We start from the raw sequence: 15,358 nt of genomic DNA on the forward strand, positions 1-15,358 counted from the left end.
CACTCAAAGGCTCCAGGTTTTGACGTGAGCCACTCGGCCAACCACAACAGCATACCTGGTGTATCCTCAGCAAAAACGGGATTCCGAACGTTCCGAAGACCTCTTTGTGGAAATGCGCCACTGTGACAAGCATCTCATTCTCTTTGTCTATGTCCACCTGGTCCAAAGGGATTTCCTGGGGACACGGACAACAGACACAGTTCTGTAAGTGCAAGTGATGTGGTCAAAGTGTCCACATCTCAATTCTCACACTACTCTAACCCGGAGGGTAAAGCCTATTTTTGCTAAAAAAACGCCACACCTGGATCCAGCCAGAGTGATGGGCACTCATGGGAGTCTCAGCCAGAAGATATCCAAGTTTCTTCCCCCTCCCCCAAAAAACTGAATTTTAAGAGGCCAAATACTGTATTATCCCAGTTCCTGTGGAAATGTCAACAGCTCTAAATTCAAGTGATCCACAGTTTCTGTCTGGATTGGGTTGGTAACCCAAACTGAGGACTAATTTCTGTGCAAAAACACTGTAGGTCCACTCATGGAATCATATACCTCGATTACTGGTATAAAAACACAAATCAAGCTACTTGTACAACTTGCTGTGATATTTAAATATGCAGCAGATGGGGCTCATGAATTCTCTCTGGTGCCAACAGTATCGGGGACAGATACCTCTATTCGAAACGTCCGGCTCGTTGCAGGAGATAAACATTCTAATAGTTCATCTTCTTGATGAACACCAATGATTTTGTAGCTTACAATTTCTAGCAGCCTGAACAGAGAGGAAAAAAAAATAGGGCAAAATGAAGTATATATATTCACATAAAAATAAAATGGTTTTCTAGAAAGAAATAAAGTTACCACGATATGTTTTTTTTTTTTTTTTTGAGACAGTCTCAATCTGTCGCCCAGGCTGGAGTGCAACAGCATGGTCTCAGCTCACTGCAACCTCCGCCTCCCGGGTTCAAGCAATTCTCCCACCTCAGCCTCCCGAGTAGTTGGGACTACAGGTGCGTGCCACCACACTGGGCTGATTTTTGCATTTTTAGTAGAGACGGGGTTTCACCATGTTGGTTAGCCAGGATGGTCTCGAACTCCTGACCTCGTGATCCGCCCGCCTCGGCCTCCCGAAGTGCTGGGATTATAGGTGTGAGCCACCATGCCCAGCTTTTTTTTTTTTTTTTTTTTTTAAAGAGGATCTGAAATATCAGAAACAGAGACCGGAGGCAAGGCACGGAGAGGGGGTCCCCTTGAAGCATAAGATTAAAGGGCTCTGCTGGACAAAGTGGAAATGGCCACATTTGGGCACAGAGATGTACAGACTGGGCCTCCGAAAGTTGCATAAACCTTTCCCACAAGGAATTCACATTCAGCTGATAGTGGCGTTTTCCTCGCTTACTCTTATTAGGTAATAGATTAGGGTCTCACTGTTTAATAATTGTTTTATTAAAACTAAAGAAAGTTTGGGAACCAAATGGCTCCAAAAGCCATTTGTCCTCCAAGCGACTACAGGGCAAAGTAGTGAGAATCATGCCCATCTCTCTGAAATAAACAATCAATTCAGGGGCTTCTTTCTACAGCCCAAATGTTGGCTAGATGGAACAGAAGTGACTCAATCTGTCAAATACAAAATCAGGAGTCACCCCTTCCAGTTTCAGTTCATCGTTCAAATGGAATCGTATCCTTCCTCTGTTTGGCTTTTCTATGGGAACTGCGCCTTTTTACTACAGCTAATGTTATCAGAAGATACAAGGGGAAGGAGGAAAAACGTGGCTTAATTGTGAAACACGCATAACCCTCTGCACCACAGCGGCTTGAGGGTTACCCCTGAGACTTGAAAAACTGGAGCAACACTGGGTCTGTGTTGAGCTTCTGTGCAACTGTCTTTGCAATGGAGGCACACCCCACTGAGTCTGGGAATGACGCGCATGGATCCCAGCTGGGTGATTTCCACCAACGCAACTGCAGAGGTCAGCGTTAACTGCCACCCCTAACTGAACGTCCACAATTGGGCTCAAGAAATACTTGCCTAAGTTTCCCTGATGCTTTCTCCCCAAGCTCCACGGCCTTTTTACATTCTTCTAACAGGTCCCGGACACACCCATGCTTGTCTGGATATAGTGTTATTTCCTAAGTAATGAAAAGATAAAATAAGTGCTTTCAAGAAAGCATAAAAGGTCTGCTACCACAAAGGAAGAGAGGAGAAAGTTGCATCATTGTTCTCAACTGTCCCCAGCTGGCCCCCATGTTCTTGCTCTCATTCCCACCCCAACTCCCTCATCTGTGAATTCACTCACAGTGAGGACACTGGCCCTAATCTAGGACCAACCAAATACTGACGGGAGGTTAACAAAAGTGGCCTTGATGCAAGAAGCCTGTCATTTACAGAACACCTTCTCAGGAAATGGTCCCGAGGGGTCACCCAGGGCCTTCCCAACTCTCAGCACAATGAGAAAGGAATGCTGGTCCAGATACAAGACCAGAGGCAGACTGTGGGCCTTCAGGGAGCTCAATTCTACAAAGGTGAGGCTATTTATGTCTCGAATTTTCCCTCTATACTTGTAGAGCTAGAAAGGGTGAGAGATCTAGCATCTAAATAGGCATGCAGACTTTTTTGAAGAACCACCTAATGCCTGTAATGCCAACACTCTGGGAGGCTGAGGCAGAAGGATGCTTGAGCCCAGGAGCTCAAGACCAGTCTGGGCAATATAGTGAGACCCTGTCTCTACAAAAAAAAAAAAAAAAAAAAAAAAAAAAATATATATATATATATATATAAATGAGTTGGGCGTGGTGACATACACCTGTAATCCTAGCTACTTGGGGGGCTGAGGTGGGAGGATCACTTGAGCCCAGGAGGTCTACGCTGTCGTGGGCTGTGATGGTGCCACTGCACTCCAGCCTGGGTGACAGAGCGAGACCCTGTCTCGAAAAAGAACCACCTAAAATGTGGCTGGATGCGTCTTCTGTTTGGAGCAAGCAGGTGACACTGGAGCTGTCTACACTAGCAGCTTGGGGAGTAAGCGCAGAGTCATGGACTGCTCCGTTCACAGGCCTGCTGGACTCCCTGAGATCAGGCCGCGGCAGGAAGAGCTGGAGAAGGATCCTCCTCCTCAGCCAAGTGGCAATGCGCAAGCATCACAGTGGGACCCAGAAGGGAAGGGTTGGCTGCCGAATGGTTCCTTAGCTCCACATGTCATGCACCCCAGAGGCCTCAGGAGGTCCTGCCAGGAGGCAGGAAAGACTGGCCCAGGGCTCCCCCAGCCCCCATCATGTGCTGTTGTTTAGAGTGTTTTTCTGTGGTGTCTTAGTTTTCAATGTCTGGGGACAGGTAGAAACAATAAGCAAGTTCCAATAAAAATTAAAATTCATAGTATTAAAAAAACTTACCTCTTCCCTAAATTGGCTGTTTAACCATATACATTTAAAACTTCGCCTGTTCTCAAAGTCTGTGATTTTCATCTTAAGCTATTAAGAAAAGAAAGATTCACATCAGATACCGTCACCAAAACCCCGAGCCTTCTCTTTATGACCCATAGTTACATTAATTTGGACTCATACCTGCTGATAGTAAAGTTTCTTAGGTTGTCTAGGCTTGAAGAACTGTAGAAGATCTCTTAAAGTACCTTCATAATTATGTCTAAGAGGATTACCTGGGCCATCCCTATAACTACACAAGAAAACAGCATATAAATAAATGACTTGTTTATTTGCCTAAAAACAAATATCTGTGAGTGAGCATAAAAGCAAACCGCTGGCCTTACACCTGGTCTTGAAATTTGGACCTAGCATGGGGTTTAACTTAATACTCCTGTTTCCCAAGAACTAAGTCCCACTCGCTGTCACACTTGAATGCTCTCTGCAATAGTGACAAAACACACAGCAGCCTGGCAGGACTGACCAGCTGGACACATGGGAGATGCACTGAGGATGTATCTAAAGTCAGTCTGGCTTTGGATGAGGCTGTCAATTATTTTAACATCTCAGAGTAATGTGGTCAAGATGTGAGTGGTGACAATTCTGAAACTAAGCAAGAAATGGACTGTCAGGTGAAATGGCGAGCTAATTATTAAAATTAGTTCCAAGATGTTTCAATGAACTGTGGAAAGCATGCAGTCAAGACCAAGCAAGTGTCCACACATGTGACCTACCCTTGAGACTTGAAAAACTGCAGCAACATTGGATCTGTGTTGAGCCTCTGTGCAACTGTCTTTGCAACCTAAGACACAGAAAGGAAGGTTCACATTTTGGGGAAAAATTGAAACTTGGTCATAAACTTCATGCTTAATTACTTAAAATGTGCCATGAGCAGCCTGAATTTAAATTCCCTAGAAATTTATTAAACAGGAATAAACTATATTATTCCTTAATGAATCACCATGGGAGTAGCATATCTGATGAAGATAACTTTGGAAAGGGTTTTCACTTTTAATGGTGAGGTCTACAGGTTCTTTTCTGATGGCGATTATTCTAGCTCCCAAGGCAGAGAGCCTGAATCCATCAGTGGGAGATTTCCTCGGGCATAGCCCCTTCTGAACCAAAACCATGAGATAGCTTCTTCAACAAGCATTTTAAGAAAGAAATTTGTCTTTCTGGAGTGGGATCTGAAGAGGAAAGGAGCATTTATTAAATACCTGAAAATAATTCATTCTATTTGATAACGTAACCACAAATCCAGGATCATTAGGGATTGTTTTATCACAGAAAATGACATCAACGCGGTGGTAGAGATCTCGGAAATACTCCTTTGCGGTGGGTAATTCACTGTTATCATTTTCAGGGTCATCCCTGGTGGAGGGAGAAAGTTTGCAGTCTGAATCAAAGTCCATGGCAGGGGGTAGCTGGTAAAAATGGCATCATCTTTTACACAACAGTGACACCAACAGGCTCTCTTGCAAGATAAATTCAGGTTCCCCTTTGAGGGGGCCAGGCATCTGCCTGAGCTCCCTCTGTAAGCGAGGCAAGTATGCATGGGGATGCACTGAGCCAGGCGCAATGTAGTGGCTTTACATTCTCATCCCACTACAAAACAAAACCCCCTTAGGTAACAGCACCTGCTCTCCTCTACAGGAGCAGACCCAGACGCAGTGTCTTGCCCACAGACCTGACAGGTGGTGGAGCCCAGTCTCTGACCGTGAGTCAGGAAATCTGGGCTTTCGTGTGCCATCGAGCCACTTTCAGACACTGAGTGTCTAAGACCAAAGACTGGCTGGTTTACATGAAGACAGACTGAAATGAATTACCCAAGTAGGTACATTCTAAGGAGTTTCGATTTCATAAATCTCAGGGGAAGGAAGCAATTGTTCCCACTCTACTAATAGTTGCCACGTGCACTTGAGACATTTTAAGGAATTTTTAAGAAATTGAGAAGAGCTTTATGAGATGAAAATGTTCACCACACCTAATTTCAAAACCCAGAGAAAGCCTCTCAACAGTTACATTAAAAAAAACAAAAACAAAAACGTGGCTCGGGATCTAGGTACAAATGTTTCTTGGTTCTACAACTTAAAAAAATCCTGAAATTAGTACAAAGTGATACAATCCTTCACAAAGTACATACTTCTGAAATACTATGATGTCACCATCCATTAGTTCATCAAGGGCTTTATCAAGAGACACGTCATAGTCCTGAATTCTCTCTGTTAAATTCGGTTTAACTTCCTACAGTGAAAGATATAAAATTGTTACACTGCAAGTTTGTCTAACGTTTAATATGGCCAGATAGTCTTCCATGTACTTAAGTATTTTCTCTACACCCAATTCTATCCACCTTTTAAGTTAAAATGTTAACAGGAAAAGCTAAATGAATAAATCCACAAATATGTAACAATCAGATTTGATTCTACAACAGGTAAAAAAAAAAAATTCACAAATCTAAATATGTCATTCTCAAGATCATCTGAGGCCCTGAGTTAGCTGGTAGACCTAACACTGTAACAAATTCGGGGTAAAAAGAACAAACAAAACCCTCCACAAACTACTAAGAATATACTAATTATGGAAAAATAAACCATCCAAACCTCATAGAGGATAAGGCTAGTATCTTGAATAAATCCTGCTCTGTCACACATAACTGGGAGCAAGTCACCTAGGAGAAAGAAGATATTTTAAATGTGTAGCTGTAATGTACTGAGCAAAATCTACTCAGAAGGTAAGTGCACGAAGGACTTACGTATTTTACAGGATATTGGTGTGTAGATATGCCCACAGTAATTCAAGCTCCGCGTTTTGGGATCATACATCTTCAAAAATAACATTACATCATCTACAAGGTTAATAAACAAGTTTTGTTAAGATCCAAACACTCAGCACAATGCTTAAAAAACAAAAAAACAAACAAACAAAAAAACGAAAAAAAAAAAACAGTAAGCTGAATAGCTCAATGACAAGTGAAATGACAGCTTAAGGTACCTAAAAGTTACTTCAGATGTGGCTTATTCACGAAGCTGAGGCTATTACCGCTGAGTTTCCAAACATCAGACCCATGGAAACCCACTACATTTAGACAGTCAAGACGGTACTGAGTGCAGCAAACTTAGAATTCCTAGTTCTGAGACCTGGACTGACTGGCTGGAAGAGCGTTGCCACGGGAAGATTGCGCATGGTCTTGTGTCTTTGCCAGAAGTGACCACTCACAGCAATAAAAGTCTGTCATTTTATAGCAAGGGTCAGCAAATTCCGATCCACCTGTTTTGTCGATAAAGTTGTACTGGAAGACAGCCAGCTCGTTCATTTATATAGTCTTTGTGGCCGCCTTAGTACAGACAGAAAGGCCTGAAACGCCTGAGATATTGCCTATGTGGTCCCTGACAGACAACGTTTGCAACCCTGCTCTTTAGGATCTGACCAACGTGATTAGCACAGCACAGCAGCTGAGACTGAAGACAGAACAGGACGGCCCCACGTGGCTGCTACTGTCTCCGGGCCTCACAGGAAACTCGCAGCCAAGTCAGTCTTATTTGACTTCATCAGGAAGTCTAGTGAGCTTTTGTGGAATTGATCAACACATCTTTCTGCAAGGGAAGAAGGCTTAACCCTGTGTGTTTAGAACAACAATCCAGGAATCCAACGCTACTGCTCTAAGTGCAGGCAGGCGTCTCGTGGGCACTTACGATCTTTATCAAACTTGGGTAAGGTCGCTCCACTAGCAGCCAGCTCGGGATCAACTGTTTCCAGGAATATTGTCCAAGGGTTTTCATTATCACTGAGCTCAATCATCTATTTCCAAAAGAGACGCTGATTTTAGAAGAGTCTAATGGCTTAGGTGACAGAGCGAAAAACTACAGTCAAGTATTGAAGAAAACGTCCAATTCTAGTTAAGTGGACCAAAAGGGAAACAAGCTGCACTAAGTGCAGAGGACTAACGCCTTCTGCACGGTTCCAAACCAGATACGCTATTAACAATATTTACTGTTTTATTGCCGTCGGCTTCATTATCTAACATTGCTGGTCGTTTTGTTCCATTACTCCTTGCTTGCATGGGCCACAATCGAATTTGATCTTGTGGAAATCCCTGAAAAAAATATTAAGAGTAGATTAAAATAAAAACACGCTCATATTTTAGTCCTCTATATTACACACACATATGTATATACATATACATATATATATATAGTCAATGTTAAGACTGTGATCGTAGGCCAGGTGCTGTGGCTCTCGCCTGTAATCCCAGCACTTTCGGAGGCCGAGGCAGGTGGATCACGAGGTCGGGAGTTCAAGACCAGCCTGGCCAACATGGTGAACTCTCGTCTCTACTAAAAATACAAAAATCAGCTGGGCCTGGTGACGGGTGCCTGTAATCCCAGCTACTTGGGAGGCTGAGGCAGGAGAATTGCTTGAAACCAAAAGGCGGAGGTTGCAGTGAGCCAAGATCGCGCCACTGGGCAACAAGAGTGAAACTCTGTCTCAAAAAAAAAGAAAAAAAGACTGTGATTCTAAGAAAAAGAATTCTAATTCTTCCCCGGTTGATTTGGACAACTGTGACTTATCCTTCAGGATCGAATGCCCATTTACAAAAATAAAGAGGGGGTAGGGGTGCAGGGAGTGGAGTGGGAGATGAGGAAAAGGGGTGAAAACATGTCTGCAAAATCCTGTGGGTTCCCCTGTGCAGGAGTCAGGGGCTCAATGGTTTTCTTGCACTTTCTCAGGCAGGAAATGTTCCTGGGTCACACTCCTCACTGTTAGGCAGTGGCTGGACACAGCACCTACCCCCAAAGGCAATCAGTATTTTCTAGTGACACGGAAGGAAGGTGGACGTTGGGAGCCACGGTGGGGTATATCCACGGGACCGGTACGCACCATGGTCTGAGAGAGGCTCTGAACAAACTCAGCAAGCGAGGAGTTCTTCAATACTTTGAACACAGTGTATTTCACTTTTTCTTCATCGTACATGTCATTCCCTTGGTGGCCACAAAACTGGTCCTCTGCGACTATCTGAAAATATGTATGAAAGCACAGAAAAGACTTGACAACTGACAAAAAATGAGTCCACACTGAACACATTTAAACACTAAAACGCTGAAAACTCATTTTTTGTTCCAAAGAAACTTCTTCAGAAGACCAATGAAGAAAAACCGCATAAAATGACCAAAACCTAAATCAGGTATTTATTTAGAAAAGGAGGCTGTGGGCAGGGCACGGTGGCTCATGCACTTTGGGAGGCCGAGGCGGGCGGATCACCTGAGGTCAGGAGTTCCGAGACCAGCCTGACCAACACGGAGAAACCCTGTCTCTACTAAAAATACAAAATTAGCTGGGTGTGGTGGCACATGCCTGTAATCCCAGCTACTAGGAAGGCTGAGGCAGGAGAATCACTTGAATCCAGGAGGCAGAGGTTGAGGTGAGCAGAGATCGCGCCACTGCACTCAAGCCTGGGCAACAAGAGTGAAACTCTGTCTCAAAAAAAAAAAAAAAGGAAAAGAAAAAAGAAAAGGAGACTGTGTTTCACTGCAATAACTTAACTCACCTATAAATTGGACCTAGCTAGACAGCCAACGGTGAGATGACCTCCTCCCTTTCTCCAACCCCCTCAGTACTTTTTGAAGCAACCTGACGTGCACTTAATCACTTCTCTGTCTGGTGGCCTGACTTCTGACAACCAAGTCTTTACTCCTGAACTGGCTCTGCCCGCCACCAACAGGGCCAGGTGTTACAAATACTCAGGCAGCTGCCCAGGGCAGCTCAAGGCACAACAGTCCCGGTTTGTGTATCAGGAACTACTCTGGGACTGTGACCAAGCTCAGGAGAGCACGTGGAGCAGCTTCTCTCTGGGCAGCTGCCCTGCTGTGCAGTGACCCAAGGGGTCCCAGAGGAGTGGGGACTGACCTGCACTTGCGTACAGAGATGGATGCCCTGCTGCATGGTGACCTGGGAGTCCCAGAGGGGTGGGGGCTGACCTGCACTTGTGTATAGAGATGGGTGCCCGGCTGCATGGTGACCCGGAGTCCCAGAAGGGCGGGGGCTGACCTGCACTTGCATATAGAGATGGGCTTCCTGCCGCTCCTTCCGCTTCTGAGCCTCGATCCTTTTCTCTTCTTGTAATCGCTCCACCAACTGCTGAGGAATATCATGGTCGGTGACCGCCTGTAAAACTTCACCTGCAGGACAAAGGCATCCTCTTTGACCCCTGCAGATGGACTTTCCCCTCTTAGAAGCTCCCGATTCTAGGTCATCATTAATAAAATAATCTATTAGGCCGGCGTGGTGGCTTACGCCTGTAATCCCAGCACTTTGGGAGGCTGAGGCGGGCCGATCACGAGGTCAGGAAATCAAGACCATCTTGGCTAACATGGTGAAACCCCATCTCTACTACTAAAAAAAAAAATAAAATAAAAATAAAATAAAATACAAAAAATTAGCCAGGCGTGGTGGCAGACGCCTGTAGTCCCAGCTACTTGGGAGGCTGAGGCAGGAGAGTGGCGAGAACCCGGGAGGTGGAGCTTGCAGTGAGCCGAGATCGCGCCACTGCACTCCAGCCTGGGCAAGAGCAAGACTCCGTCTCAAAAAAATAAAATAAAATAATCTATTAACATGAAATTACTTGGTACCATAAGTCTGCATCGAAACGCGCAAGCCCAACCCTGCTCATTTCTGCGCTGCTGTGAATACAATGGAATAAGCATAAAATGTGTTTGGACAGAAAAGGATATTGGAGATTCATGGTACAAATGTCCAAGTCCACCACAGTAAAGAACAGAACAAAAGTGAACACTACTCACTCAGTTTTGATTCCCTGATGTAGACTAACATGTAAGCATTAGTGCAGTGTCGAACAGACAGGTCGTCATCGTGACCCCCATAATTGTGCTCAATTGCTTCCTCTTTAGTACACCTTGACACCACGTCGTCATCAAATTTACACCACTGCAAGGAAAACAACACACACCAGCAGCGATCAAGCACTGTGACAAGTACCCAACACTAGAAGGCAGCGTTGTTCTAAAATGTGTGAACTTCTAGGTATGCCCCTAGTTGAAAAAATATCCATGTGTGTTCTTATACAGGCACACAATCTGACGGTGTGCTAGGCAGGCAGCGCCTCAGGCATCCGCTCATACAATTCACCAGGACCTTCGCAGTCCCCATTCAACATTCTGTGGGCACTGCTACCATTCGCCCAATGGCAATTTTTATAATCTACTGAAATAGCCCATTTTCCACTTACATTCAATCTACTGACACTACCAACTCTTTACAGAATTAAAAAGGCCATACTGAGCACACCAAACGAGAGTTCAAATTTTATCCTTTAGTTATCAAACTAAATGAGCTGTTTTATCCTATCCCATGGCATTTTATGGAAGCAAGTTAAGGGCCAGACTGAAGTCAACGTAGCATGTTCCTAACAGTTATCTTCCCATCTGCGTTGTGGATGCAGCCACATTAAACAGTGATGAACGCTGCTGTTACACGCACTCTTCACTGTTCTCTCGTGCTGTCGGGTCCCTCCACCAAATCCCCTTGGCAGGAGCTCGGTGCTGGCCCTGTGGTCTTGGGGGTAGATTCCAAGACCCTCATCTGCCAAATGAGTATGGCGCCCTCTACACTCCCAAGAGTGGTGGTGAAGACTGCATGAGATCCCCATGAGAGGAAACAAGGTAGGACCAGGGGGCACGCAGAGGGACATGCGACCAGCCAGCCTCCCCGACTGGGCCCACCGCATGGGTAATTATCCCACGAGCATTCAGAAGAAAATATAAGTGTCTCATATGACATATAAGGGATTCTGTAGGGCCCAACATTGATTACTCACAAAGAGAAGCACAAATGCTAATTTACTATTTACCTTCAAATCTCAGCAATTAAATGGATGGGAAAACAGCATTTAGCAGCCAGAGAATACATAGATCAGTTAGGGGTCCCTGACAAGGTTCCGAGTAGGAACCAGAACAGGCTGAAGCAGAGCTTGTGTTAACTTTCTGATGAGCTTGCATTCAGCCCTGGGTCCCACCACTTACTTTGCCATCCCCTTTGGGGTTTAGATAAACCACATAATGTCCACCATGATTATCTCCACTATGAACCAGGACTGCATGAAGAATATAATTTGCAGGGTCCTTAGGATCTGTTTTTTGCAAAAATTCATCAAGTGGTAACTGCTCTGGGAATTCAAACCTATTAGAAAACATTTTAAAAGAAATTCAGTATTAATTTACACAAAAAATATCACACTTTACAGTAAGTAAGGCCATTTAATGTACTGGCTCATCTTTAATAGGATAAGCATGAATTGCCTTGGGAAGGCCTATGAAGTACATAACGTAATCCGTACTTGATAGAAATAACTATTCCTAGTCAACATAAATATACACTATGAATAATTTAGGGTGGAGGAATTCCAAATATATCAAGAAATGATTCTGAAGGTCGAGGTTAAGACTACTAAGGATATCTGCAAACTGAGAAACATGAAAAATCAAATTCAGAAAGACATGTAAAAATATTTCCCACTCTGAATATTGACTTAGTTTTAATATTCTACAGACATCCTGAAATTGACTTAGTTTTAACTGGCTCTACAAATTTTGATTTACTTGACCAAATTTCACCATCAGTGTTGCAAAATTAACAGAGGCAGGAAGGCAAGTTAGACGGGTGGGGGCTGGTCTCAAGCACAGCATGCACCCGGCCTGCGAAGCAGCCACCACTCAGCTCACAGCCCCTGCGGCCTTCAGGAATGGTGGCCTCAAGTTGCCAAACCTTCTGATTCCTAAACGATGCCCAAATCTGAACATTTATGTGAAATCTCACAATTTAAAAAATGTCTGCCACTGGCTCCAACAAAAATAAAAACAAAGTGAGGATCCAAAGAAACATACCAACAGGTTGGAATTGGTCTGAAGGCTGCCAGTTTGTGGTTTCTGGCTGAGACAGTTTCTGACCACGGTAAAGACTGTGAATGGGTGACCAAAGCCTCAGCTGGTAGCAAGTAAAGTGATTTGATTACACTCTCCCTTAAACCTGAAGGCTGAATGACCAACCTATATTCCATACAAAGCTGGTGCTCAAACTAATCAGGATAAAAATACTGTATTCTAAATCAGATAAGGTAGTGCACATTGTCACTCCTGCATCTACTATTTTAACAACCTAGAAAACTACTTGTGGCCGGGTGTGGTGGTTCACGCCAGTAATCCCAGCACTTTGGGAGGCTGAGGCCGGCAGATCACTTGAGACCAGCCTGGCCAGCATAGTGAAACCCTGTCTCTACTAAAAATACAAAAATTAGCCAGGTACTTGGAAGGCTGAGGCAGGAGAATAGCTTGAGCCCAGCAGTTCAAGGCTGCAGTGAGCCATGATCATGCCACTGCACTCCAGCCTGGGCGACACAGCAAGACTCTGTCTCAAAAACATAATAAAACAAAGTAAATAAAAATAAAATAACTACTTGTAACTGGCATACAAACAACTACTTTAGCATTCTTGAAAACTCTAGCACATTCTAAAAGTTGACGCCAACTGAGAGACAACAAAATATTGGAAAATCCTATTTAAACGAATACACTAAAAGTCCCCTCTGAAATAACATTTATAATCGGTCAAAATTAAATTTATTAGAAATCCTGTGAATGCAAGAGCTGTGAAGCAGAAACAGCCCCATCCTTGTGGACTTAAATCAGCCATAGCTGAGAGCAGGGCTGGGACTGGGCAAAGCATCCTGAGAGGGGAAATGGACTCGGCAGAGGTTGACCTCTGAAACTTGACATAAAATCATTCCTTTAACACTGCGGCTCTTGGGACACAGAGGTAGAAGGAAAATCTAAATAAATCAGATGTGGGACTGAAAATATAAAGACTGAGGAAAGCACTGAGACTAACCCCCTAGACCAGCATGATGATGAAATCTTAACTTTATATCCCACTATAGATTACCTATCATTGATCTTGATATTTTGGTCCGTCTGAGGGTCATACATAAATCTCATCAGTTGTAGATGTAACACTGGTGGCAATGTTAGGAATTTCACACCTTTCTCTGCTTCCTAAACATTGAAAAACAAATGCAAATGTAGTTAGCCTCTACTTACTCCTGGAAGCAATGAAAGCAACAGCGGTTCAGCAAGATTGGAACATGTCTGGAGACTCTGGAGACAAAGGCAGGGAAGTTTAGGTGTCCATTTAGGGCATCTTTGAAATGTTTTCTTTAGGTCTGTTTATGGGTCTCTTTGTTTATTAAAATAATGCTGCACCAGCACTGACTGTGAGAGATTCTCTTACCTTGGATTATATTCTAACTCGATGCCCAGCAATCAGGGAAGAAATGGTTAAGGAAATTTAGACAGTCATTTGCTGCTGTGTTATACAGTCATTAAACACTGTGCAAATTATGGAGAACCACAGAAAAATCATTAAATGGAAAATCAGAAAACTCTGGTTACAATTACCCAAGATTAGGTATGCTTATGAAATGCCCAAACAGAACAAGCAGCAATGAACACAACTGATGAGTCGGCAGGATTATAAGCTTCCTTTCCTTGGGCTCTTTGATGTTTGCATAAGAACCCATATATCACAGGGCACGCCCTTAGGGCTTATGGTTCAATCCCACTTCTAAGAAAATGTTCTGATTCAGTGTCAGCAAGGCCCTTCCCCAGCTGACTGCCGGACTCTGTGGGACAGGACACCCCAACTTCTCAACAAGCCTTCTATGGGGACACCGGACTCTAAGCTCTTGCCCTGCTCTATCACTGCTCCATCTTGGCCAGCTCTTTGTTCCTCAGTAAAATCAGGCTTTGCCTATCTCGACCACGGCCAGGCGGTCAGGGGCCCTCACTCCATGTCTGACTCACAGCTCTATTTCCAATGCAGACCTTCCTTCTGGCTGGAAATCCACCTGCCCAGCAGCCAGCGAGAGACCTGGAGGAACTGGGGACCATGACAAGGCACACCCATATGCCAAGGTTCTTTGGTGTACATCAGCTCATTTAAGAGGACAGAGCTATCTCAGGAAAGACAAAAACAGACCTCAGAACCCCTCTCCACAGTGGGGAAGGACCTGTTTTTAATACAGTCTGAAAGATAAAAGGATTCTGTCTCCACCGCTGTCCACTGAGGCTTCGACTCAAATACATACTGCTCAACCAGACCCTAAAACATCCAGAATAGAGAACAGTAATTCTCGTCAACAGACCAGAATATTTCTTCATCACACCAAGTTCTCATTAAAAAGCAACTTTCTGGATGAGCAAGTGGCTCATGCCTGTAATCCCAGCACTTTGGGAGGCCGAGGCAGGCGGATCACAAGGTCAGGGGTTTGAGACCTGCCTGGCCAATATGGTGAAACCCCATCTCTACTAAAAATACAAAAATTAGTTGGGCATAGTGGCGGGCGCCTGTAGTCCCAGCTACTTGGGAGGCTGAGGTAGAAGAATCACTTGAACCCAGGAGGCAGAGGTTGCAGTGAGTCGAGATCGCGCCACTGCACTCTAGCCTGGGGAACAGACCGAGTCTCCGTCTCAGAAAAAAAAGCAACTTTCTGATCTATACCTCAGTCCCTCAGTCCAACTGGACTGACCTAGCAGAAGAGTACATTTGGAGCTGACAGCTGACTACAAAATGGGTACACAGGCACCATGAACTATATACACTGGCAGGCTTTGTAAGCACAGGCCAGACTGACATTTTTAATTATAAATTAGTTGAGTCAATGAGTCAAGGTTATAAGATTACAAAACAGACCCTGGATCACTGGATCCATGAGGACACTGCAGATCCAACAGACCAGCCAGACCAGCAGCCAGAAACAGCCCATTTCCCTTCATCCAAGCGGGGGCTGGCCACCTGGTCGCCCACCATGCTCACTGCTCTCTCAGATGCCCAGAAACCTGGGGGACACAACCCTAGAGAACACACTACTCATTCTAAA

At 44.4% G+C, this 15,358-nt stretch overlaps 1 protein-coding gene across 6 annotated transcripts in view, besides 1 other annotated feature; it reads right to left on the reverse strand.

Annotated features, from left to right (window-relative positions):
- The window catches only part of USP7 (ubiquitin specific peptidase 7), a 71,810-nt gene that overhangs the window by 2,879 nt on the left and 53,573 nt on the right, over positions 1-15,358 (reverse strand). For 5 of the 6 annotated variants that reach the window (NM_003470.3, NM_001321858.2, XM_047434605.1 and 2 more), the window contains 17 exons: positions 13,366-13,475; positions 11,451-11,607; positions 10,212-10,356; positions 9,460-9,590; positions 8,293-8,427; positions 7,406-7,507; positions 7,107-7,212; positions 6,167-6,259; positions 6,015-6,082; positions 5,555-5,655; positions 4,629-4,782; positions 4,146-4,213; positions 3,556-3,664; positions 3,385-3,462; positions 2,024-2,124; positions 667-766; positions 56-175 (listed from right to left, as the gene is read on the reverse strand). In NM_003470.3, coding sequence (NP_003461.2) covers positions 56-175; positions 667-766; positions 2,024-2,124; positions 3,385-3,462; positions 3,556-3,664; positions 4,146-4,213; positions 4,629-4,782; positions 5,555-5,655; positions 6,015-6,082; positions 6,167-6,259; positions 7,107-7,212; positions 7,406-7,507; positions 8,293-8,427; positions 9,460-9,590; positions 10,212-10,356; positions 11,451-11,607; positions 13,366-13,475 — 1,878 coding nt within the window. The remainder of the gene's footprint in view (positions 1-55; positions 176-666; positions 767-2,023; positions 2,125-3,384; positions 3,463-3,555; positions 3,665-4,145; positions 4,214-4,628; positions 4,783-5,554; positions 5,656-6,014; positions 6,083-6,166; positions 6,260-7,106; positions 7,213-7,405; positions 7,508-8,292; positions 8,428-9,459; positions 9,591-10,211; positions 10,357-11,450; positions 11,608-13,365; positions 13,476-15,358) is intronic. The other variant, NR_135826.2, reaches the window with a different exon arrangement.
- Positions 8,873-9,374: an enhancer, noted in NCBI's record as "H3K27ac hESC enhancer chr16:8997705-8998206 (GRCh37/hg19 assembly coordinates)". NCBI's record gives its function as "activates a minimal SCP1, AML or CMV promoter by ChIP-STARR-seq in naive H9 embryonic stem cells {active_cell/tissue: H9 hESC(naive)}" and the evidence as "EXISTENCE:reporter gene assay evidence [ECO:0000049][PMID:30033119]".

Source organism: Homo sapiens, chromosome 16 (assembly GCF_000001405.40).
Source record: "Homo sapiens chromosome 16, GRCh38.p14 Primary Assembly".
NCBI lineage: Eukaryota > Metazoa > Chordata > Mammalia > Primates > Hominidae > Homo > Homo sapiens.